Genomic DNA, 26,875 nt, shown 5'->3' on the forward strand with positions numbered 1-26,875 from the left:
ACCAGTTATTTTTGGAACACACGATGTGAAAACATTTAAAAGCTGCTGGACCCTCTCCCCCCCCATCAACAACAACAAAAAAACCCATTTTAAAACTTGAGAGATGTGATGGGTCACATATAACTTCAGTTCAGATTATAAATTTAATTCGATTTTTCTTGTTCTGTTCAATGACTAGAGAGACTCAAACGATGTCACCAGATGACAGCAACTCATGCGTGTTAAACTCTTCGTAAAACAATGTTAGCTGTACCCCCGCCCCCCCCCCAAAAAAAACACTTCTTGTAACCAAATTCTGTAATTATGTTCCAACCTTGTATGGATAACGTAATCCAGCTAAAAACTCCTCTGTCTCCCTAAATAAATGAAATCGTAACTTCTCTACTTCTGAAGGCTGACTCCATTCTTTGGAGGTTTTCTGGTTGGTCCATCCTCACACTGCCCTTGAATAAACTCTTTAAATAGATTCCGGCCCTTTTGATTGTTTTAGGTTCACGACAATTTAGCCGATGTTGAAATTATAAAGCTGCAGATTCTCCTTCCCAGAAAAAAAGAACATAGGCACATATACAATTCCTTTGCTTGCTATTTTGGGCACTTCTTGGATTTTTTTTTTTTTTTTTTTGAGTCGCTCTGTCGGCCAGGCTAGAGTGCAGTGGCACGATCTCGGCTCACTGCAATCTCCGCCTCCAGGGCTCAAGCAGTTGTCCCGCCTCAGCCTCCCGAGTAGCTGGGATTACAGGTGTGTGCCACCACCCCCGGCTAATTTTTTATTTTTAGTAGAGACGGGTTTCACCATGTTGGCCAGGCTGGTCTTGAACTCCTGACCTCAGGTAATCCGCCTGCCTCGGCCTCCCAAACTACTGGGATTACAGGCGTGAGCCACCATGCCCAGCCTGTTTGTTTTGTTTTTGGGACAGTCTCACTTTTATTGCCCAGGCTGGGGTGCAAAGGCACGATCTCGGCTCACTGCAACCTCCCCTTCCCGGGTCAAGCGATTCTCCTGCCTCAGCCTCCCGGGTAGCTGGGATTACAGGCATGCGCCACCACGCCAGTCTATTTTTTGTATTTTTAGTAGAGACGGGCTTTCTCCATGTTGGCCAGGCTGGTCTCCTCCTGACTTCAGGTGATCCGCCTGCCTCGGCCTCCCAAAGTGCTGGGATTACAGGCGTGAACTACCGCCCCTGGCACTTCTTGGATATTCTAAGCTTATTTATTCTAGGTGTCTGGGACCCCACCTTAAACCATGCTTTGTACAACTGTATTTTTGAAAAGTAGAATGTAAAATCAGTGTTGTGTTAATGAAAAGCCTCCCATATCTTCCCACAGCCCTACAAAAGAACTCAACAAATATTTGCTGTACCTGAATTAGCTAAACCAGTCAACATTTATTTATTTTTTGAGGCGGAGTCTCGCTCTGTCGCCCAGGCTGGAGTGCAGTGGCGCGATCTCGGCTTACTGCAACCTCGGCCTCCCGGGTTCAAGCGATTCTCGTCTCAGCCTCCAGAGTAGCTGGGATTATAGGTACCCGCCTCCCCGCCCGGACTCCTGACCGTAGGTTATCCGCCTGCCTCAGCCTCCCAAAGTGCTGGGATTACAGGTGTGAGCCACTATGCCTGGCCTGATTTAATAGCTTTAAGACGACTGTGGCCACCTTTTTTTTTTTTTTTTTTTTGAGACGGAGTCTCGCTGTCACCCAGGCTGGAGTGCAGTGGCGCGATCTCAGCTTACTGCAACCTCCACCTCCCGGATTCTGGCAATTCTCCTGCCACAAAACTTCTCCTGTTTCACCGTGTTGCCCAGGCTGGTCTCGAACTCCTGAGCTCAGGCAATCCACCCGCTTCGGCCTCCCATAGTGCTAGGATTACAGGTGTGAGCCACCATACCTGGTGTGGCCGCCTTTTAAGGGAAGCAGTGAAAATTTAAAATGCTTTGAAAGCTACTTTAACATTTCTGAAATCCTTAGCGTAGTGAAATGAGGATTAGGATTGGTGAATTAAAATTAAGTGAGATAGTGGGGTTTACCAGGAATGGGAAATTCTGAAATCCTCCTCAAATAGGAGAGGCAATATTGTGGAGTCATTAAAGACAGACTCTGAAATAAGACTCCTTTGTCTAAATCTATTAGGTCAGTTTAGGCAATTAACCTATATATATATTCATGTCAGTTTCCTGATCTGTAAAATGGGAAAAATAGTAGCTGCTTGATAGGATTGTTTGGAAGATTAAATTAGTCTGTGTGTATATATACACACACACACTCACACTCTAATTGGAAGGAAAAAGAAACAGTCTATCTCATAAAATTATCCCATGTAATCTTTACATAAAACTTAAAAAGTTTGTTACTATTAAATTGTAGACATAATCAATTTCTACCTAATAAATACATGATCTGGAAGATTTTCAATGCAGTCCTTTAGTCCATTTACCTTCAGAAGGACCAGAAATAGCCAATTTCCTTAGACAAAAGTACATATTCACAATTTTTCTTTCTTCCCCAGCAAGCCCACTTACTTTTTCCTCTCTCTGTAGTAATGACTAGCCAAGGAAGGATGTATTTTTTTTTCCTTTTTTTTTTTTGAGACAGGGTCTGGCTCTGTTGCCCAGGCTAGAGTACAGTGGGGTGATTATGGCTCACTGCAGCCTCCGCCTCCTGGGCATAAACGATTCTCCCACCTCAGCCTCCCGAGTAGCTGGAACTACAGGCACACAACACCACACCCAGTTAATTTTTGTATTTTTTGTAGAGACGGGGTTTTGCCATGTTGCCCAGGCTGGTCTTGAACTCCTGGCCTCAAGTGATCTGCCCACTCTGCCTCCTAAAATGCTGGGATTACAGGTGTGAGCCACCACACCCGGCTAGCGTGTTTCTTAAGTTGGCAATTTTGAAGATAGAAGCCATTTCTTTGCCCCTTTGTTTCTACAGTTCTAATATGTGACTGAATTGGCAAATCAAGAAAAGGGGAAGTCAGTAGTCCTTGGGTATATTTTTGCTGTCTTTAAGAACTAAACATTGGCTGGGCGCCGTGGCTCACACCTGTAATCTCAGCAGTTTGGGAGGCCAAGGCAGGTGAACTGCTTAACTCAGGAATTAGAGACCAGCCTGGGTAAGATGGCAAGACCCCGTCTCCACAACAAAATAAAACGTAAGCCTGGCAAGGTGGCGCATATCTGTAGTCCCAGCTACTCCAGAAGCTGAGGCACGAGGATCCCTTGAGCCCAGGAGTTAAGGCACTTCAATGCTAGACATATTTATAAAATGATAATGAAAGCTGAAAATGTCTCTTTTTGAGGCCGGGCGTGGTGGCTCACGCCTGTAATCCCAGCACTTTGGGAGGCCGAGGCGGGTGGATCACGAGGTCAGGAGATCGAGACCATCCTGGCTAACACGGTGAAACCCCATCTCTACTAAAAATACAAAAAATTAGCTGGGCATGATGGCACGCACCTGTAATCCCAGCTACTCACGAGGCTGAGACAGGAGAATGGCGCGAACCTGGGAGGTGGAGTTTGTAGTGAGCCGAGATGGCGCCACTGCACTCTAGCCTGGGCCACAGAGTGAGACTCCGTCTCAAAAAAAAAAAAAAAAAAAAAAGTCTCTTTTTAAAAGCATACCAGTCTTTCCACTCTCCTTCTGAGTTCTTTACTGATTAGTTCTGGAATAATGAGTCTCTAGTAATTTTGTATTCAGGAGTTTTAATCGACCCACTGTTTCTAGAACCTGAAGACTTAATAACCTATAGTACACATAAGCTCAAATAATGAAGAGTTTTTGGGCCAGGTGAGGTGGCTCACACCTGGGAGGCCAAGGCAGGTGGATTGCCCAAGCTCAGGAGTTCGACACCAGCCTGGGCAACATGGTGAAAACCTGTCTCTACTAAAAATACAAAAAATCAGCTGGGCGTGGCGGCGTGCACCTGCAGTCCCAGCTACTCGGGAAGCTGAGGCAGGAGAATCGCTTGAACCTGGGAGGTGGAGGTTGCAGGGAGGCGGATTGCTCCACTGCACTCCAGCCTAGATGACAGAGTGAGACTCTGGCTCAAAAACAAACAAATAAACAAACGAAAAAACCAAACAACGAGGAATTTTCCTTTTTTTGAGACGGAGTTTCACTCTTATTGCCCAGGCTGGAGTGCAATGGTGCAATCTCGGCTCACTGCAACCTCTGCCTCCCGGGTTCAAGTGGCTGGGATTATAGGCGTGCATCACCAGGTCTGTATTTTTAGTAGAGACAGAGTTTCACCATGCTGGTCAGGCTGGTCTGAAATTCCTGACCTCAAGTGATCTACCTGCCTCGGCCTCCCAAAGTGCTGGGATTATAGGTGTGAGCCACTGCACCCAGCAGGAATTTTCTTAAAATATAGGTCAAGGAATCAATGTGTTGACTGCATTATAGAGTCTGTTTCATATAAACCAGAAGATAAGAAAAGATTGATTGTAGAGGAAACAATGTTAAAGGAAATGCAAAGGAAGGAAAATTTTCATTGTCATTAAAAGCACCAGCCTGACAGCTTGCTTCTCAATGTTTCTCGGAAGACAGAATATAAACTAGAATGACTGTTTTGTTTAGATTAGTTGTAAAACAGGGCAAGAGAAATCGGACATATTAGAACCCATCTCACAAAATCAAACTTTAAAAACTGAAGTACCTAGATACATAAAAAGTCCCAAGTATTTTCACAAGTTTAATACGTTTTATTTATTTTATAATTTTTATTTATGTTGCCCAGGATGGAGTGCAGTGGCGTGATCTCAGCTCACTGTAACCTCCACCTCATGGGTTCAGGTGATTCTCTTGCCTCAGCCTTCTTAGTAGCTGGGATTACAGGTGCCCGCCACCACACCTGGCTAATTTTCTTGTATTTTTAGTGGAGACCGGGTTTCACCATGTTGGCCAGGCTGGCCTTGAACTCCTGGCCTCAGTCGGGTGTGGTGGCTCACACCTGTAATCCCAGCACTTTGGGAGGCTGAGACAGGCAGATCACAAGGTCAGGAGATCGAGACCATCCTGGCTAACATAGTGAAACCCCGTCTCTACTAAAAATACAAAAAAAATTAGCTGGGCGTGGTGGCGGGCACCTGTAGTCTCAGCTATTTGGGAGGCTGAGGCAGGAGAATGGCATGAGCCTGGCAGGCAGAGCTTGCAGTGAGCTAAGATCGTGCCACTGCACTCCAGCCTGGGTGACAGAGCAAGACTCTGTCTCAAAAAAAAAAAAAAAAAAAAAAGAACTCCTGGCCTCAGGTGATCTGCCTGTCTTGGCCTCCCAAAGTGTTGGGATTACAGGTATGAGCCACTGTGCCTGGCCCTCTAGATATAATTAAATGTCTAAAACTTAAGGACAAAACCATCATTCACCCAAACATATGACGTATCAAGTGAGCTGAGATGACAGTCCTATTACTGCTCACTTACCTCTATATATGGCAACTAGTAGAACTGGGTATTTATATCAGAAGCCTTAGAATTATCCTTGTAGAATATTGAATTTTACAAAATTATCTGCAATCCACTTATGCCTCCTTTTATTTCTCCTTCCAGGAACCTTGACACTCTCCTTGGTCGTCTCAGGAAATCTTACTTTTTTTTTTGTTTTGTTTCTTTTTTGAGATGGAGTCTCGCTCTGTCGCCCAGTGGCTGTGATCTCAGCTCACTGCAACCTCTGCCTCCTGGGTTCAAGCAATTCTCCTGCCTCAGCCTCCCAAGTAGCTAGGATTACTGTATGCACCACCACACCCGACTGATTTTTGTAGTTTTAGTAGAGACGGGGGTTTCACCATGTTGGCCAGGCTAGTCTCGAACTACTGACCTCAGGTGATCCGCCTGCCTCGGCCTCCCAAAGTGCTGGGATTACGGGTGTGAGCCACTGCACTTGGCCAGGAAATCTTTTCAACATAAATTATTTCTCAAGGAAAATTTACTTTGAGGTTTAAGACACATATATAGTTCTGCCATATTTATTAAATGGCTCTTGAAGTATTTGATCTGTGGTTGAAGGCAGAAGATATCCACAATGGTTTGAGGAGCTCTGTCTTCAGAAATCTTTTTGTAAATCTAAAATAGAATAGATAATATATGGAAGAACAGCAAAGGAAACAAAACAAAGCCCATTTACTTTTACATTCTTTTTTGCCTAATGCTTCTATTTAACACACATCATGCACAAAGATTTGCTTACACATTTGCTGAAGTCCACATCATAGGCTGAGCTAGTATGGAACAGTGAGGATACAAAGGACTTAATACGGCCAGTTGCAATGGCAGCTTCAACCAGGCTTTCCAAGCTCAGAGTTGTTGTTCATCCAATAATCACACATATGAGTGTCTACTGAGTAGAGCATTATCTTAGGCACTACTGCTTAAACTATCACATATTTAAATAAAAAATGAAGTGGCAAGATAATTTGTATTGCTATAACATTGTCACAGTTTTCTAGAGTAGCCTTCATCTCTTGAATAATATTCAATCTGCTGATTTTTTTCATATTGGCTTATACATATGCTCATATGTCTCCCATTTAGAGTACCCTTCATTTGACACTGCTATCCTCTTTGTGTTTCTTTCCAGTTATTATATGCAGCAGGATTTTATTAGTTTCCTACTGTACCTGACACTTGATAATCTTGCACTTTTCTTTCCCCTGGCTTCTATAACATTTTCCCTTCCATCTTTCATCTCTTCACTTCTAAATCATTAGCAAGTCTCAAGGATGGTTCCAGTATTTGCACCTTTCGGAGATCTCCAGTGCTACTGTTCTAGTGGCAATAGCGCAGTTGGCCTCTTGGGCTCTATTCTAGTCCCTGTCTTGCCCAGATTTATCTTTCTAGATAAAAACTACAAATCATGGCATTCCCTTCCTCAGAACTTTTAAAAGCTTCCTATTAAGCCCAAAACCAAGCCCAAACACATAAGCTTGGAATTCAAGGCCATTCAGTTTGCTTCTTTGGATTTATAGCCCATCACTTCTGGACACACCATATACTAGATTAGCTGTACTACTTGATGGCTTCCAGAGTAACTGGATGCTTTCCTGTCTGTCTTTGCTCTTGATGTTCCTTCAAGAATGAACAACCCTTGGCCTTTTTCCACCTCCATACCCTTTATCTTATCATATTTCTGCTTGTGGAAATCCTTCTCATACCTTATGGTATAGTATATTGGCATTAGGGATTAGAAATTTTTTTTTTTTTTGAGATAGTGTCTTGCTCTGTTGCCCAGGCTGGAGTGCAATGGTGCGATCTTGGCTCACTGCAACCTCCACCTCCCAGCTTCAAGTGATTCTCCTGCCTCAGCCTCCCAAGTAGCTGGGATTACAGGCGCACAATACCACGCCCGGCTAATTTTTGTATTTTTAGTAGAGACGGGGTTTCACCGTGTTGGCCAGGCTGGTCTTGAACTCCTGACCTCAGGTGATCCACCTGCTTTGGCCTCCCAAAGTGCTAGGATTACAGGTGTGAGCCACCGTGTCCGGCCTAGGGTTTTTTTTTTTTTTTGAGACGGAGTTTTGCTCTTGTTGCCCAGGCTGGAGTGCGATGGCACAATTTCAGCTCACTGCAACCTCTGCCTCCTGGGTTCAAGTGATTCTCCTGCCTCAGCCTCCCTAGTAGCTGGGATTACAGGCTCCCACCACCACACCCAGCTAATTTTTTGTATTTTTAGTAGAGATGGGGTTTTACTATGTTGGCTAGGCTTGTTTTGAACTCCTGACCTCAGGCGATCCACCTGCCTCAGCATCCCAAAGTGCTGGGATTACAGGTGTGAGCCACTGCACCCGGCTAGGGATTAGAATTCTTACAGCAGCTACACTGAAAGGAGTTCAGATACCACCATTTTCATATGAAATCTCAGAGTCCATCAGATAAAATCTCTTTCTTAGCATTTTGTACTTTTTTTTTTGTATTAAGTTAGTACTTCTTTTTTTTTTTTGAGATGGAGTCTTGCTCTGTTGCCCAGGCTGGAGTGCGATGGTGTGATCTCAGCTCACTGCAACCTCTGCCTCCCCGGTTCAAGCGATTCTCATGTCTCGGCCTCCTGAGTAGCTGGGATTACAGGTGCCTGCCACCACGCCCAGCTAATTTTTTGTATTTTTAGTAGAAACAGGGTTTCACCATGTTGGCCAGGCTGGTCTCGAACTCCTGACCTCAAGTGATCCAACTGCCTTGGTCTCCCAAAGTGCTGGGATTACAGGCGTGAGCCACCGTGCCTGGCCAAGTTAGTACTTCTTAAGGGCAAGGAGGCATGATGTTAATTCATCTTTGTCTCCCTTATAGACCTGATACTTAGAATGTGTTTAATAACTATGTGTTAAATTGAATTAAGGAACCTCAATTTCCAAAACATTAAGGATAGTAAGATAAATCTGTAAATTTTGGGAGGAGGGCAAAGAAAGACTAGAACTCAAAAATTGCTCATTTCTACTAATAATAAGATCTAACTAGATAGAAGGGAAAGGCATAGCGTCTTACCACTCTTCTTAAGAAGTTCTCCTTTTCGGGATTTATCCAGATTTTCAAGAAAATGTTCAAAAACTTTCACATAAGGTGCTAGACTGGTCTTCTTATAATCTAAATTATGAAGAATGTACATTATAATTAGCATACTGGCAGCAAGAATAACATGAAAACACAACTAAGTTTCTTATAAGAATTCTCTAGGGCTGCCCAATTGAAATATGAGAGAAACATACATACTTTTAAATACTATATTAGTCACATTAAAAAAGGTGAAATTATTACTGAGACAGGATTTCACTCTGTCATGCAGACTGAAGTACAGTGGTTCCGTCTTGGCTCACTGCAGCCTCGATCTACTGGGCTCAAGGGATCTTCCCATCTCTGCTTCCTGAGTAGCTATAACTACAGGCATGTACCACCATGCCCAACCAATTTTTTTTTTTTTTTTGGTATTTGTAGAGACGAGGTCTCACTCTGTTGCTCAGGCTAGTCTTGAACTCCTGAGCTCGAGTGATCTCCCAGCCTCGGCCTCTGAAAGTGCTGGGATTACAGACACATGCCACCATGCCCAGCTAAAATATTATTTTTGCATGTAATAAAAATTGAGATATATGATACTCTCTTTCATACAAGTCTTTTATATTTATATATATATATATAATATATATACATATATTTTCTTTTTTTTTTTTTTTGAGACAGAGTGTCACTCTGTTGCCCAGGCTGGAGTGCAATGGTGCGATCTCGGCTTACTGCAACTTCCGCCTCCCAGGTTCAAGCAATTCTCCTACCTCAGCCTCCCGACTAGCTGGGATTATAGGTGCCCGCCACCACAATGAGCTAATTTTTTGTATTTTTAGTAGAGATAGGGTTTCACCATGTTGGCCAGGCTGGTCTCAAACTCCTGACCTCATGATTCACCCACTTTGGCCTCCCAAAGTGCTGGGATTACAGGCGTGAGCCACCGCGCCCGGTCCATGCCTTTATTTTTGAGTCTTGCTCTGTTGCCAGGCTGGTATGCAGTGGTGCAATCTTGGCTCGGGAACCTCCGCCTCCCGAGTTCAAGCGATTCTCCTGCCTCAGCCTCCTGAGTAGCTGGGACTATAGGTGTGTGCCACCATGCCCGGCTAAGTTTTTGTATTTTTAGTAGAGACGGGGTTTCACCATGCTGTCCAAGATGGTTTTGATCTCTTGACCTCGTGATCCACCTGCCTCAGTCTCCCAAAGTGCTGGGATTACAGGCGTGAGCCACCGTGCCCGGCCCCATGTCTTATTTTTGAGACACTGTCTTGCTTTTTTGCCCAGGCTAGAATGCAGTGGTGCAATTGCAGCTCACTGCAGCTTTGACTTCCCTGGCTTAAATGATCCTCCCACCTCAGCCTCCCAAGTAGCTGGGATCACAGGGAGTGCCACCACAGCTGGCTAATTTTTTATTTTTAGTAGAGACAAGGTCTTGTGTTGCTCAGGCTCTGGTCACGCCCTTTTGGAGATTATTAGAAGTTTTTACATTGAGTATTCTTGTTTTTTTTTTTTTGAGATGGAGTCTTGCTCTGTCTCCCAGGCTGGAGTGCAGTGGGGCAATCTCGGCTTATTGCAACCTCCACCTCCTGGGTTCAAGCGATTCTTCTGCCTCAGCCTCCCGAGTAGCTAGGATTATAGGCGCCCGCCACGACGCCCAGATAATTTTTGTATTTTTAGTAAAGATGGGGTTTCGCCATGTTGGCCAGGCTGGTCTTGAACTCCTGACCTCAGGTGATCCACCCGCCTCAGGCTCCCAAAGTGCTGGGCCTACAGGCATCAGCCACTACGCCTGGCCTGCATTAAGTATTCTTTGATTTATAAAATAGTTTAAAAAATGTATACAACAAAAAATTTAATATAGGCAGGGTGCGGTGGCTCATGCCTATAATCCCAGCACTTTGGGAGGCCGAGGCAGGTGGATTACGTGAGGTCGTGAGTTCGAGACCAGCCTGACCAACATGGAGAAACCCTGTCTCTAGTAAAAATACAAAAATTAGCTGGACGTCGTGGCGGGCACCTGTAACTCCAGCTACTCAGGAGGCTGAGGCAGGAGAATTGCTTGAACCCAGGAGGCGGAGGTTGCAATGAGCTGAGATTGCACCATTGCACACCAGCCTGGGTGACAGAGTAAGACTCTTTCTCTAAAAAAAAAAAAAAAAAAAAAAAAAAAAAGAATATACAATTTTATTCATCCATTTAATTATATAACCTATAATGATACCCAATGGGAAAATATGATTGAGAATAAGAAAGGAGTTTCACATAAAATTTGGATTTTAGTAGTATCCTACGTTTGCATGGAATTAAGAATCCTCATAATAGTTCTTTAAAAAGAGTAAGAAAGAAATTATACTTTTTTTTTTTTTGAGACGAAGTCTCACTCTGTTTCCCAGGCTGGAGTGCAGTGGCGCAACTTCAGCTCCCTGCAACCTCTGCCTCCCGGGCTCAAGTGATTCTTGTGCCTCAGCCTCCTGAATAGCTGGGACTACAGGTGTGCACCACCATGCCTGGCTAATTTTTGTATTTTTAGTAGAGACGGGGTTTAACCGTGTTGGCCAGGCTGGTCCCAAACTCCTGACCTCAGGTGATCCACCCACCTTGACCTCCCAGAGTGCTGGGATTACAGGCGTGAGCTACTGCGCCCGGCCACATAATTTTCATTTTGAGACAAGGTCTCTCTCTGACACCCAGGCTGGAGTACAGTGGTGTGGTCAAGGCTTACTGCAGCCTTAACCTCCTGGGCTCAAACAGCCTCTTGAGTAGCTGAGACCACAGGTGCCTGCCAGCATGTCTAGCTAAATTTTTTTTTTTGGAGAGACAGGGTCTCTCTGTGTTGCCCAGGGTGGTCTCAAACTCCTAGGCTCCTCTTGCCTCGGCCTCCCAAAGTGCTGGGATTACAGGTGTGAGGTGAGCAGTAAGCGAGCATTACCGCCTGAGCTCTGCCTTATGTTAGATCAGCAGAAGCACTAAATTCTCAAAGGAGCATGAACCCTATTGTGAACTGCGCATGTGAGGGATCTAGGTTGCGCACTCCTTATCAGAATCTAATGCCTGATGATCTGAGGTAAAAAAGTTTCATCCTGGAACCATCCCCAACTCCTCCCCCTCTCTTTGCAGTCCGTGCAAAAATTGTCTTCCACAAAACTGGTACCTGATGCCAAAAAGGTTGGGGAGTGCTGCGCTGCTATGCGGCATCTTTTTTTTTTTTTTTGAGACGGAGTTTTGCTCTTGTTGCCCAGGCTGGAGTGCAATGGCGTGATCTTGGCTCACCGCAACCTCCACCTCCTGAGTTCAAGCGATTCTCCTGCCTCTGCCTTCCGAGCAGCTGGGATTACAGGCATGTGCCACCACAGCCGGCTAATTCTGTATTTTTAGGATAGACAGGGTTTCTCCATGTTGGTCAGGCCGGTCTCGAACTCAGGACCTCAGGTGATCAACCCACCTGGGCCTCCCAAAGTGCTGGGATTACAGGTGTGAGCCATCGCGCCTGGCCTGCAGTATCTCTTAGGTGTTAGATTTGCCTTCCATTAGCAGGAAGATTTAGAAATTCCTTAGCTTCTTCAAATTCTTTTTTTTTGTTTGTTTATTTGAGACAGTCTCCCTCTGCCGCCCAGGCTGGAGTGCAGTGGCACAATCTTGGCTCACTGCAACCCCTGCCTCCTGGGTTCAAGCGATTCTCCTGACTCAGCTTCCCGAGTAGCTGGGATTACAGGTGCCCTCCACCATGCCTGGTTGATTTTTGTATATTTAGCAGAGTTGGGGTTTCACCATGTTGGCCAGGCTGGTCTTGAACTCCTGACCTCAAGTGATTTGCCTGCCTCGGCCTCCCAAAGAGCCGGGATTACAGGCGTGAGCCACTGCGCCCAGCCAGCTTCTTCAAATTCTTGAATATACAACTTGGTAAACAGTTTAGACATATGTTTACCATAAAACCCACCTATATGCATCAGAAACAAAGAAAAAAAGTACTGCATATATAATAGTTGTTAAATAAATAGGTGGTGAATCTCAGAGACTGATTATTCATACTTATTGATAGTTTAATCTTACAGTATAGATCCTAGCATTAAAAGTTACTTAGGAAATATGTGTTGAATCAGACTGGATTCAATAACACCACTTGGGCTGCTGTTGAAGAAAGGACACAAACATTGTATGCAGTTCCAGGACAAATGCTGATCCATTCTAGTTGAATCAGAGAATTAATTACTGGAGTGACAGATGGATATCTATATAAAAACCCTGTATTTAAAGTGAAGCTTCAAAATATTACCTTACCTCTGGTTCTATGTTTGACATCAGATTCAGCTTCATTCTCCTCTTTTTCCTCTTCATTAGTGGAAATGGCATCCAATTCACGGCAGATGAAGCTGCAAGTAACAGAACAAGAGAATTTTGTTTTTGTTTTTGTTTTTGAGACGGAGTCTTGCTCTGTTGCCAGGCCGGAGTGTGGTGGTGCGATCTTGGCTCACTGCAACCTCCGCCTCCCAGGTTCAAGTGATTCTTCTGCCTCAGCCTCCCAAGTAGCTGGGACTACAGGCATATGCCACCAAGCGCAGCTAATTTTTGTATTTTTAGTAGAGACAGGGTTTCACCATGTTGGCCAGGATGGTCTCGATCTCTTGACCTTGTGATCCACGCGCTTTGCCCTCCCAAAGTGTTGGGATTACAGGCATGAGCCACCGCGCCTCACCACGAACAAGAGAAGTTTAATGTTGGTTTCTGATCAGCATTATCCAGTGTATAATAGCATGTGAATCCCATAAAATTTACTGTAAAAAAATTATGCGGCCAGCTAAATTTGGGATATTCTAAACACCATGATCTCTTCTTGGAGTTTTTCATGCATATTATCATATGAAAGACTGTGAAATACTGTAGTAAAAGATACTTTTAATCTGTTTAAGTCAGAATTTCCTAAATTTACTTGACCTTAAAATCTTTTTCTTACATAACAGCAGGTGAAAATCTTGTATTGTTCTATTAGGGCATCGTCATCTAACCTTTGAACCTTATTTGGTTTCCATAACCAAATATACCATTCCCATGCAACTACTTCTCTAAGGAGGCTAATTCAATTTATTTAAAATTCATAACAACAATTACAAACAAGGAGTGATCAATGATCTGAAACATACCTTATGGTCGGAACAGTAAATGGATCAAACTGGTCCACTTTCTGCAAATCAATAGGCACAGATATGCGACCTGTAAGACACAAAAGTTATAAACTGATGATTGTGGACTATAAATCATTATAGTCATCTCCTACAGGTTATTTTTGGTTAAAATTTTTATTTAAGGCTTAGACAAAGGGTTAAACTTATCTGTTAAGAAGAGTATTTAGAAATATAAATTACTTTCACATTAGCTGTGCCCTTACTCTTTTTTAGAGTTAATGCCTCACTTTGTCACCCATGCTAGAGTACATACAGTAGCATGGTCATAGCTCACTGCAGGCTTGATGTCCTGGGCTCAAGTGATCCTCCCACCTCAGTTGTCTCCCAAAGTGCTAGGATTATAGACGTGAGCTACTGCTCCTGGCCTGGCCAGTTTTTCAATTTTTGTTGAGTTGGGGTCTCACTATGTTGCCCAGAACTCCTGGCCTCAAACAATCCTCTTGCCTCAGCCTCCTGAGTTGCTGGGATTACAGGTGTGAATGACCATGTCCAGCATGCCTTTTATTTCTCTTTAAAAAACCAGCCAGGTGCAGTGGCTCACGCCTGTAATCCCAGCACTCTGGGAGGCTGAGGAGGGTGGATCACAAGGTCAGGAGTTCAAGACCAGCCTGGCCAAGATGGTGAAACCCCGTCTCTACTAAAAATACAAAAATTAGCTGGGTGTGGTGGCGGGTACCTGTAATCCCAGCTACTTGGGAGGGTGAGGCAGAGAATTGCTTGAACCTGGAAGGCAGAGGCTGCAGTGAGCCAAGATCGCGCCACTGTACTCCAGCCTGGGTGACAGAGTGGGACTCTGTCTCGAAAAAAAAGGAAAGAAAAAAAACAAAAACAAAAACCAATAAGCAAATGTGAAGACTGTTGAGCTATTTCCCAGTTGCTCTTATCCCTACTTTTATTTCTATATTTAGAAATAAAGTATATTTAAATATTCCATATTTAAGTTCAGAACAATCTCAGAGTTAGTGAGTCCTGAAAATAGAACAAAATAGATGAAACTATAATATTTACATTGGCTTGGTTTATTTGAGATCAATACAGATACCCACATGTCAGACACCTTTAAAAAGCATTTAGGAAATAAAATAGAAATTCCTCTACTCTTTTATAATACCCCCCTAGGATACCATATAGAATTTAACACATCTCAAAAGTGACGTAATGAGGCTGGGCGCAGTGGCTCTTGTCTGTAATCCCAGCACTTTGGGAGACTGGGGCAGGTGAATTGCTTGAGCTCAAGAGTTCAAGACCAACCTGGGCAACATGGCAAAACCCTGTCTACAAAATATTAGCTGGCTGTGGTAGCACATGCCTGTAGTACCAGCTACTCAGGAGGGTGAGGCAGAAGGATCGCTTGAGCCGATCGGTGAGCCGAGATTGCACCAGTGCACTCCAGCCTGGGTGACAGAGTGAGACTCTTTCTCGAAAAAAATTTTTTTTTGTTTTTGTCAGTGCTAGGAGTAGAGTTCATTTCATTTCTTTCTTTTTTTCTTTTTTTTGAGACAGGGTCTCACTCTGTTGCCCAGGCTGGAGTGCAGTGGCACCATCACAGCTCACTGCAGCCTCAACTTCCCAGGCTCAAGTGATCCTCCTGCCTCAGCCTCTTGAGTAGCTGGAACTACAGGCATGCACCACCACGTCTAGCTAATTTTTGTATTTTTTGTACAAAGGGTGTTTAGACATGTGGCCTAGGCTGGTGTTAGACTCTGGGGCTCAAGTGATTTGCCCACCTTGCCCTCCTCAAGTGCTGGGATTACAGGAGCAAGCTACCACATACAGTCACACACAATTTTTTTTTTATGACCTTGGATGGGTTACATCTTGGGCCACTGTTTTCTCATCTGTACAATGAGAGCTGTTGTCCTAAGATTTTGATGGTCCTCTCCAAATCTAATATGGAACCTCAGAAACCCAACTGAAAAACAGTTACATAGTAGAAACTCATCTGGTAGCTACTTAACTGACTTAGGTATTGGGTGACAGAGCAATTCTTCTACCTTTAAATCATAGACATTATATATATTCAGACCTAATGCCATGCTTACTAAAGCCAATAGCAACTCATTTTTCTTTTAGTTTTCCTTAGTTTCCTTGTGTAGTACCTGTTTTAGGATGAACACTAAAAGGGCTCTTCAGTAGATGATTGATTCCTTTGCTGACATTGATATCCAGCCGTGGAAAACAGTACTGGAGCATAATCTCCCACTCCAGCCAGGGTCCATATTTGTCATTTTTGATGTTATTCTAAAAGCAGATACAAGGCCAACATGAGGATCAGTAGGAACTGTTGAAGATTTCTTTAAAGAAAGTTAAAAAAACGATCTTCAACCATCTTTAACTGACTAGGCAAAGCAATCAATTTAATTAAGAATTGCATTATTATATCTGTAATACAGATTTCAGTGGCATATACCTGATATCTGCTGGCTACTTTCTTCAAGTGCTCCCAACGCTGAAGTGAATTGTGAGACTTTTGGAAGCTTTGTTGAAGTTCATCATGAATTGGTGATGGGTCATTAAGGAACAGACTCATTTAGGGAACATCAATGAACAATTTAGTTTTAAGTATGTATTACCACAAGGGTGTCTTACAAATATTCAGAAAGTAGTTATTAACATTTCTTGAAATATAAATGTTGACTGGGCGTGGTGGCTCATGCCTGTACTCCCAGCACTTTGGGAGGCAGAGGTGGGTGGATCACGTGAGGTCAGGAGATCGAGACCAGCCTGGCCAACATGGTGAAACCCCATCTCTACTAAAAATAGAAAAATCAGCAGGGCATGGTGGTGCACATCTGTAATCCTAGCTACTCTGGAGGCTGAGGCAGGAAAATTGCTTAAATCTGCAAGGTGAAGGTTGCAGTGAGCTGAGATTGTGCCACTGTGCTACAGCCTGGGCAACAGAGTGAGACTCCATCTCAACAACAAAACAACCCACCCCACAAATGTTAAACTCAACAGCTGTATCCGGCCGGGCACAGTGGCTCATGCCTGTATTCCCAATATTTTGGGAGGCTGAGGTGGGTGGATCATTTGAGACCAGCTTGGCTGACATGGTGAGACCCCGTCTCTATAAAAACACAAAAATTAGCTGGGCGTGGTGGCGTGTGCCTGCAGTCCCAGCTATTTGGGAGGCTGAGGCAGGAGAATTGTTTGAACCCGGGAGGCGGAGGTTGCAGTAAGCCAAGATCACACCACTGCACACTCCAGCCTGGGCAACACAGTATAAGACTCCGTCTTAAAAACAACAACAACAACAAAAAAACCCCAAACCAAACCAACACCAGTTGTATCATTGAAATCTTCCCCTGTAAAAATACAGTGATGATATAACAGAAAGAATGCCAAAATAACTATAAGGTATGATGTAAAGTTTTCCCTGGTCTGCATGTATTTTGACTATGTAATTCACCATTCTTTAGCTGTTAATTCTAGGACCAACTTCCAAAATGAGAAAACTGATTTGCAACATGGCCCCATTTTTTATTATGTTCCAGACCAGAGATACTAAAATCCAGAAATACAGGAGATATTTTGTGTAAAAAAGATTAAACTTATAAGTATATGAGAACTTACAAGCAGACATGTCTAACATTTATAATATCACAGATCAAAACAACTAGCTCACACAGAAATGATCACGGGAAAGGATATTTTCAGGAACAAGGGCTAAAATCTTATCCCAGCTTTCTTTATTTTCGAGAATATCTTGATTAACCAAGGCATATTCTTCAAAGTATTTTTTTATTATGTTTATAGATTTTCTGTAAGAACAACAATAACAACAGAGTCCCAACACTATCAGTAACACATATGCCACATAGGTATTGCTGCCATTGTGGGGAAAACTACTGCTTATTTTCATGACATTTTCAGAACTTAACTAGGTAAAATGGGAATACTACCCTGTGCAGGGTTATGATAATTAAATGAGACACTTTTAAGGGAAAAGAACCTGACATAGAACCTGGCACAGAATGGGTATACAAGAAATGTTTACTTTTTAAACCTCACAACTTAGAAGGTTAATATACGCAATAAGGGTAGAAAGTAACCAACCCAGGACACCATAATACATCAGTAGTAGAATGTGGGATGCAGCCTACACTTTCCACTGTGAATTGCTTGTATTAATATCTCAACAATCATATAATGTTTGCAGTTTACAAATATGCATCACATTTACTCTTTCACTTAATCATTGATACAACTGTGAGACAGGTAGAGTGCATGCTGTTCTCCCCATCATAGAGATAAGGAAATGGAGGCAGCAATATTTTGTCAATATTTTATCAAGATCATAGTAAGTGGCAGAATAGGAATTTTTACTCCTAATATAAGGCTTTTTCCACTATCCTAGAGAAGTAGTGAATTCAGTGGAAAAAGCATTGGAGTAGGCTTTACAGTCAGGCAGACCAGGGCATGAATCCTAAATTTAACAACTAACTTGTCGTGTGATGCCAAGCTCATTATAAAATCTCTCTAAAACTCATTTTCCTTATCTATAAATGGAGATACCATCAAGTCTCTTGTGGGGTTTTTTTGAAGAGCAATGAGAACATCTGTAAAGCACCTTTTAGGAATACTGCAGCATAAAATAGGCACTCAATTAACCATAGCTATTATTATTATAAAATGCTACCCAGCAGTGAAAATTGATAGCAAGGTAACTCTAAAGGCACATGCCGGTAAATCAGACACCTTAAAGTGCTTGGAGACTTTTCCAACAGACCTGATAAAAGGGTGAATTTTTTCACTTAGGTGAACTTTCTTTTTAACGTCTTGACCACCCTGAAAAATAAATCATTAAAAAAGAACTTCAGGTATACAATATAAATACAGTCATGTGCAGCATAACGACATTTTAGTCATGATGGACTGCATATAAGATGGTGGGCACGGTGGCTCACACCTGTAATCCCAGCATTTTGGGAGGCTGAGGTGGGTGGATCACCTGAGGTCAAGAGTTCAAGACCAGCCTGAATCCCATCTCTATTAAAAATACAAAAAATTAGCTGGGCATGGTGGCGCATGCCTGTAATCCTAGCTACTCGGGAGGCTGAGGCAGGAGAGTCGCTTGAACTCGGGAGGCAGAGGTTGCAGTGAGCCGAGATCGCATCATTGCACTCTAGCCAGGGTGACAAGAGCGAGACTCCATCTCAAAAAAAAAAGAAAAAGATGGTGGGTCCCATAAGATTGCAATACTGTATTTTTACTGTGACTTTTCTATGTTTAGGTATGTTTAGCTACATCAGTACCTATCATTGTGTTACAATTGCCTACAGTATTGAGTACAGTAACATGCTGTACAGGTTGTAGCCTAGGAGCAATAGGTTATACCATATAGCCTAGATGTATAGTAGGCTATACCATCTGGGTCTGTGTAAGTATACTCCATGACTTTTGCAAAGTGATGTATTTCTCAGGATGTATCCTTATTGTTAAGTGATGCATAATTATAATTAAAACATTTCTAGGGCTGGACGCAGTGGCTCACACTTGTAATCCCAGCACTTTGAGAGGCTGAGGCGGGCGGATCACCTGAGGTCAGGAGTTCGAGACCAGCCTGACCAATATGATGAAACCCTGTTTCCACCTGCCAACACGCCTGGCTAAATACAAAAATTAGCCGGGTGTGGTGGCAAGTGCCTGTAATCCCAGCTACTTGGGAGGCTGAGACAGGAGAATTGCTTGAACCCGGGACGCGGAGGTTGTGGTGAGCCAAGATAGCGCCACTGCACTCCAGCCTGGGTAACAGAGCAAGACTCCGTCTCAAAAAAAAAAAAAAAAATTTGTAGGCTGGATGTAGTGGCTCACACCTGTAATCTCAGCATTTTGGGAGCCTGAAGTGGGAGGATAGTTTGAGTTTAGGAGTTCAAGAACACCCTGGGCAATATAGTGAGACCTTGTTTCTGCAAAAATTAAAAAATTGGCTGGGCGTGGTGGCGCATGCCTTTAGTCCCAGCTACTCAGGAGGCTGAGGTAGAAGGGTCACTTGAGACCAGGAGGTCAAGGCTGCAGTGAGCTGTGGTCACGTTACCGTACTCCAGCCTGGGTGACAGGGTGAGACCGTGTCTCAAAACAAAACAAAACAAAACAAAAAAAACCAAAAAAACAAACCAAAACCAAAACCAAACTTTAACATGTTCTATTATTTTATATATAATAAATCTATTTTATCTATTATTTTACATATGCCACAAAGCAAGATATTTATAGCAAAATAAAATGAAATATCTTAAAACATGTAGCTACTATGACTTTAAATGATCTATTGGTAAGATCATTTACTCTGCAATGTGAATGCCATTAAAGATAAGTTTTAGGCCAGTGTGGTGGCTCATGTCTGTAATCCCAGCACTTTGGGAGGCTGAGGTGGGTGAATCACCTGAGGCTAGGAGTTCTAGGCCAGCCTGGCCAACATGGCGAAACCCAGTCTTTACTAAAAATACAAAATTTAGCTGGGCACAGTGGCAGGAGCCTGTAGTCCCAGCTACTCGGGAGGCTGAGGCAGGAGAATTGCTTGGACCCAGGAAGCAGAGCTTGCAGTGAGCCAAGATCATGCCATTGCAGTCCAGCCTGGGCAACAGAGTGAGAGTCCATCTCAAAAAAAAAAAAAAAAGATAGTTTCATTTTCTTTGACAGTAAACATATCAGGCTTGGTAACATCTAGAAACTAAAGCAATGCAAATTAGAATTAAGAGGATCTTACCTTTACAAGGCTCAAATACTCAACTATCCCAGAACGTACTGCAGAAGACAGTTTTCTAACTGATTCATCACAGACCCAACAATGAACACCTCTCCTTCCAGAATATACCCAGAGACGATGCTTAAATCCAAAGTCCTCTGAGGAAGAGAGAAATAATAGGTTTTAAAACAAATCTATAAACTCCTTAATTAATGTATATTAAATTACTTGTTGTTTCCTGTGCTCCCCATGTTCTTGCTTCATCTCTTTACCCATCCTGGTCTCTCTGCTGGGAATTTCTTTCTTTTTTAAAAAACTATTTTATTAGGCCAGGTGTGGTAGCTCACGCCTGTAATCCCAGCACTCTGGGAGGCCGAGGTGGGCAGATCACGAGGTCAGGAGTTCGAGACCAGCCTGACCAACATGGTGAAACGCTGCCTCTACTAAAAATACAAAAATTAACTGGGCGTGGTGGCGTGCGCCTGTAGTCCCAGCTACTCAGGAGGCTGAGGCAGGAGAATCACTTGAACCCAGGAGGCAGAGGTTGCAGTGAGCCGACATTGTACCACTGCACTCCAGCCTGGCTGACAGAGTGAGACTCGTCACACACACACACACACACACACACACACACACACACACACACACACACAAATTAATGAGATTTGATCACAAAATACAGAGACTAATAGTTAATAGTAGTCAGAGGAAAACCGATTCTTACACTTGACCCCATTCAGAAACTGCTGATACTTGCCCTTCAATGCTCTGTCAATGATGCGTATGGCCATTGTCATGAGGGTCCAGCACTTAGGACATATGTCTGCAGAACTAAAGCAGAGTCATCATTACTCATTGTCAGTGATACCACCCACCCTAACAGCAAGACACACAGTGCTCACCTACAACATCTCCTCACATCGTCATAGTCTGTCATGTCAATGTCAAATACCAGTTCTTTTTCCTGAGCCTGGAAAGCTCCCAGCTTCACTGTATTGTGTTGATTGGGCTACAGATACAAAATATTGATCAGTTTCTATAAGAGCTGCCACACTGCTAAATCTGCTTATTTTCTACACATATGGAAAAAGTTGCCAAACAGAAATAAAGAGACTATATAATGCCAACTTTATGACAGTGAAAGTTCATTATTTTGGATCTTACACATACACTATTGATGAGAGTCTTAACTTTCACCAACTTAAAGCAGGGTTTAATGAATACATATCCATCATAAATGTTTGTTGGTCAATAAGGATAATAATAAAGCTGTTTTTAGTTTTCTGACAAGGGAACGTATACAAATAATGGCCTATTGCAAGGTGTTTTAAGAACCTTTACTTGTTACCATACATAGAAGTATTTAAAAATTTTTCAATAATTCAAAAAGATCTCCCCAATTAGTTTGAATTGAGACTTTATTATAAAGAGGCTATGAGAAGCTGGGCACAGTGGCTCATGCCTGTAATCCCAGCACTTTGAGAGGCTGAGGCGGGCAGATCACTTGAGGTCAGGAGTTTGAAACCAGCCTGGCCAATATGGTGAAACTGTCTCCCTACTAAAGATACAAAAAATAGCCGGGTGTGATGGCATATGCCTGTAGTCCCAGCTACTTGGGAAGCTGAAGCAGGAGTATCATTGAACCCGGGAGGTGGAAGTTGCTGTGAGTCAAGATCACGCCACTGCACTCCAGCCTGGGTGACAGAGCGAGACTCTGTCTCAAAAAAAAGAACCTGAGAGGTTAATTCCACCATAAGTTTTTATAACTGTAAGTCAGAAGGGAGTGATTACTGAGGAGATTCATAAAACTAAATCTTAGGCTGTCAGTAAGGAAAGATAAGAGGCGCAACCCAATTTATACCTCAGAACCCCCAAAAGGCTCAGGGATAGGTGATACCAGGTATTGTTGGAATGAGTAAGTGCGTGTTTAGTGAAGCTGAGATGAAAAACAGGAAGATTTTTCAAGGCCACCCTTGACTGAAGGAAAAAAAAAAGGAGGATTGGTTCAAAGCATAGTTAAGAAGCAGTTAGCTACCCAGATTCGTACACTTAGCTTGCAGAGCTAGGTGACTGCTCTTTCATTTCCCTGGCAGAAGACACCTGAATTATTTTCCAGAGAGCATAAAACAGAAGGTCCCTGGACTTGGACAACAAGTACAATTGAAGAGTGTGTTGTATTGATATTACAAATTGATATTAGGGGAATAATTAGACATTTATATGTGGAATGTTAAGACCCAGCCCTTTCCACCCACTTCTGTACTCTTCCACTACCAACTCAGGCAGGAAGCTAGAAGATTTCTCTCTAAATAATCTGAACAGGGCTGGGCGCAGTGGCTCACGACTGTAATCTCAGCACTTTGGGAGGCTGAGGCGGGCAGATCACGAGGTCAGGAGATCGAGACCAACCTGGCTAACATGGTGAAACCCCGTCTCTACTAAAAATACAAAAAATTAGCCAGGCGTGGTGGCACACACCTGTAATCCCAGCTACTCGGGAGGGTGAGGCAGGAGAATCGCTTGAACCCGGGAGGCGGAGGCTGCAGTGAGCCGAGATCATGCCACTGCACTCCAGCCTGGATGACAGAGCGAGACTCTGTCTCAAAAAAAAAAAAAAAAGCTTTAGCTAAAAGAAAGTGGTTGCTTCTGGGTCTGGGTGTGGTAGCTCATGCTTGTAATCCCAGCATTTTGGGAGGCCAAGGCGGGTGGATCACTTGAGGTCAGGAGTTCGTGACCAGCCTGGCCAACATGGCAAAACCCCGTCTCTACTAAAAAACACAAAAATTAGACAAGTGTGGTGGTATGCGCCTATAATCCCAGCTACCCGGGAAGCTGAGGTGGGAGAATCACTTGAAACCGGGAGGCAGAAATTGCAGTGAGCTGAGACTAGCCACTGCACTCCAGCCTGGGCAAGAGAGCTAGACTTGTCTCAACAAAAGAAAGAAAGAAAGTAGTTGCTTCTGGGTAGCAAAAAATGAGGGGGAAGGGTAGCAGAATTTTTTTTAGACAGGGTCTCACTCTGTCGCCCAGGCTGGAGTGCAGTGGCGTGATCTTGACCCACTGCAACCTCCACCTACCGGGTTCAAGCAATTCTCCTGCCTCAGCCTCCTGAGTAGCTGGGACTGTAGGCATGTGCCACCGTGCCCGGCTGTTTTTGTATTTTTTGGTAGAGACAGAGTTTTACCATGTTGGCCAGGCTGGTCTTGAACTCCTGACCTCAAGTTATCTGCTCGCCTCAGCCTCTCAAAGTGCTAGAGTTACAGGTGTGAACCACCGGCCCAGCCTGGTAGCAGATTTTTTAAAAGCCGAATAGAAGTACTTGATTTTGTAAACCATGTGCATACATAACTGACAAAAATCACAAAACAAAACACAAAAAGTAAATAAAGGTCTATAGATGCTTCTGTCTTGGCCCAAGAAAAAAATGAGACGTTTTCTCCCTTTAGAAATTAAGGAGAAGGAAGTAGAGAGTGGCACCCTAACCCTTCTTAGAAGTTCATTTTCAGTTTTATTCTCAACCTATAAAGGGGAAGTAAAACAACTCCAAAGTATTTTTTTCTGCCTGCCTTTTATTACCTCTTCTCCCCTTACTTTGATGATGAGAGACGGGTCTGGGATTTAGAGTCAGAAACCCTGGGTTTAAGTGCCAGCTCTATCATTTAGAAATTGTGTGTGAGCTTGTGCAAACTATTCAAGTTCTCTGGGCCTGTTTCCTCCTTTGTAAAAAGAATGAGGATTGATACAAGTAACAAGTTATATAACATGAAAAACTCCACATAAAAGCTATTATGCTATGTATGTATTCCCTCCACCCACCAGTGTATATATTTGAGAAGGGGAAGAAGGGCAATTTTGGTTTGTTCATTCACTCAACAAATATTTATAGTGTACTGTCTCTTGCCAGGCACTCTTCTAGGGTACTTAGAATATACCAGTGGCAGGGGGTGGGAGGAGTGGCAGGTTTTAGTAGACCTCACTGAGAAGGTGCTATTTGAGCAAAGATTTGAAGGAGGTGAGGGGATGAACCAAGTATAGAAATGGGTTTTAGGCAGTGGAAACAGCTTGAGCAAGGGTCAGTGTGGCAGGAATGAATGAGGGGGAGAGAAGGACTTTTAGTCAGTGAAATGAGCAGCCACCAGAGAATGTTTTCAGCAGAGGAATCACAGATTCTGAGTTGTTTTAAAAGGATTACTCTAGCTTCTGTATTGACAATGGACTCTAGATTCTACAAAGGCAAACTGTTAGGAGGTTTTTACAGTAATTCAGATGAGATGATAATGTTGGTAGCACTGGTAGTAGTGGCTGGATTTTAGATACACTTATGGTAGAGCCAAAGGGATTTCCTAATAGAATGGGTATGGGAATGTGAGAAAGAGAGGAATCAAGAATAACTCCAGGGGTATGAAGGAAAAAGAATATAAATGTTTATTATGACTGAACTGTACACTTAAACGTGGTAAAGATAATAAGTTTTATATGTATATTTGACCTCAATAAAAATAAACAATTAAAAGAAAAAAAGAATAACTTCCATGGTGGAAGAGAATGTAATTCTCTTTTATTTCCCTCTTTTTTTTTTTTTTTGAGGCCAAGTCTCGCTCTGTCGCCCAGACTGGAGTGCAATGGCGCGATCTTGGCTCACTGCAACCTCCACCTCCCGGGTTCAAGCGATTCTCCTGCCTCAGCCTCCTCAGTAGCTGGGATTACAGGCGCGTACCACCACGCCCGGCTAATTATTTCCCTTTCCTAAATCATGTCGACTTCCTCTTCCTAGTAGCTAGATACTCAATTTTTTTTGTCCTAGTAAAAATGCAACCAATTCACTCCCAAATGATTTCATCAGTAATGCAGAACGTCAAAGAACAAAAAAGGATTAATCACTTGCCAAACAATTAAAAAGTGGCTTTTCATCTAGAATAAACTCTAAAAATTTAATCTCAAAACGCAAGAGGAATCAACCCATTCTTGGTTTACAAAATAAAACAACAAAATATATTAAAAAAAGATTTCTTACTCTGTGAGAATATACTGCGCCTATATCAATCTTGTATGGATTCATTTTCTGCATCTCCTTTTCCAGATCACTCTGGTTGTTGAAGGATTGGTAGCGAATGTAAATATCATCTTTCAATGTGAATGAAAATTCACGGTGTTGAAAGTAATTCTTTATCACTGCAAAATAAATGTACATTTTAAAGTTAATTTGCTACTTTATTTGGCTCAGGGCATTATAATTTTAGCCAATGAGAAGTTTTTTTTTTCGGTGAGGGAATCTTGCTTGCTTCCTGCTCTGTCGCCCAGACTGGAGTGCAGTGGCTCGATAAAGGCTCACTGCAACCTCCGCCTCCCGGGTTCAAGGGATCCTACCACCTCAGCCTCCCGAGGCTGTAGCTGGGACTACAGGCATGCGACCCACCATGCCCAGATAATTTTTGTATTTTTTGTAGAAACGGGGTTTCACCATGTTGGCCAGGCTGGTCTCGAATTCCTGACCTCAGGTAATCCGTCCTCCTCGGCTTTCCAAAGTGCTGGGATTATAGGCGTAAGCCACGGCACTCGGCCCGAGAAGATGTTTTTAATGAGCCCCCTATGCTCAACACCGTGGTAGATGTAAAAGAAAAACAAAACAAAATCCACATGACCTAGTCCCTAATTTGAAAGCAGTTACCATTCCGTATTTGCTAGGGAACGGTACAAAAGATGAAACAGATGCATAAATATTTTAAATATGTAATGCCACCCCTCTCTCCTCGATTCGCACTAATAAATTCAGCTGCAAGGAAGAAAGTATTTCTCTTCCTCTGAGAGAGGCTCTTCCGCTCCTGATGCAAACCATGCCTCAGCAGCTTCACGCTACGCCCCAGTAACCCCCTGGGCACCGCTGCAGGTAAACGGGGCACCTAATGTGAGCCTGACCACGCAGAGGTAGGAGCGGCGGCTCTGTTTTTTTTTTTTTTTTTTTTTTTTTTACAGCGTGGCCGCAGGCTGGCTTATTATATCCTCTCTCGGCCCATTTACACCTATGAAGTGGTGGGGCGGGCTCGAGAGAGCAAATGAAGGCGCGCGGCACAAAGCCTGGTGCACAGAAGGCGCTTCATATTGTCATTCTAAGGACACCCCGCCTCCAACCTCCTCACACTCCGCTCCCGAACCCATTCCTCGCCTCCATCACCTCCACCGTAGTTGAGCCAGCGATAGTACTGAGAGTAGGGAAAGAGCCTCCGGTAATAAAGTTTAAGCAGCTCGGGCAGCTCGGTGGGGTCAAACGTCTCCATTGAGCGCGGAACTCGCCACGGTAAGGATTACCACAGGAATTGGCGGGAACAGCACGGCCGGCGGCCCCGCGACTGCGCAGGCGCTTATGGCCGAGGTCGGCTGTCTGACCCGGCGGCCCGCAGTCCGCCGGGGCCGCCGGGAATTGTAGTTCCCACTTGGTGCGCGCGGGGGCTGCGGGAGACGCAGCAGTTTGCGATCTGCCCACGCGTTCGGGCACTAGGGCCACCGCTCTTGTGGGCAGAAGGCCGCGTCCAT

The 26,875-nt window shown here is 43.6% G+C and overlaps 1 protein-coding gene across 1 annotated transcript, besides 1 other annotated feature; it reads right to left on the bottom strand.

The window, feature by feature from the left end:
* On the bottom strand, window positions 5,901-26,644 carry PRIM1 (DNA primase subunit 1). Its single transcript, NM_000946.3, has 13 exons — window positions 26,517-26,644; window positions 25,359-25,516; window positions 21,247-21,353; window positions 21,102-21,175; window positions 20,366-20,502; window positions 18,386-18,444; window positions 17,308-17,417; window positions 16,067-16,158; window positions 15,756-15,897; window positions 13,615-13,684; window positions 12,755-12,846; window positions 8,468-8,566; window positions 5,901-6,055 (listed from the first exon to the last, which is right to left on the bottom strand). Exons 1-13 carry the CDS (start codon window positions 26,617-26,619, stop codon window positions 6,036-6,038), a joined length of 1,263 nt encoding a protein of 420 aa, NP_000937.1. The 5' UTR covers window positions 26,620-26,644; the 3' UTR covers window positions 5,901-6,035.
* Window positions 26,286-26,580: a silencer, noted in NCBI's record as "tiled region #96; HepG2 Repressive non-DNase unmatched - State 1:Tss, and K562 Repressive non-DNase unmatched - State 1:Tss". NCBI's record gives its function as "represses a minimal TATA promoter and a strong SV40 promoter by Sharpr-MPRA in HepG2 and K562 cells {active_cell/tissue: HepG2 | K562}" and the evidence as "EXISTENCE:reporter gene assay evidence [ECO:0000049][PMID:27701403]".

The sequence above is a fragment of the Homo sapiens genome, chromosome 12, assembly GCF_000001405.40.
Source record: "Homo sapiens chromosome 12, GRCh38.p14 Primary Assembly".
In the NCBI taxonomy this organism is placed as follows: domain Eukaryota; kingdom Metazoa; phylum Chordata; class Mammalia; order Primates; family Hominidae; genus Homo; species Homo sapiens.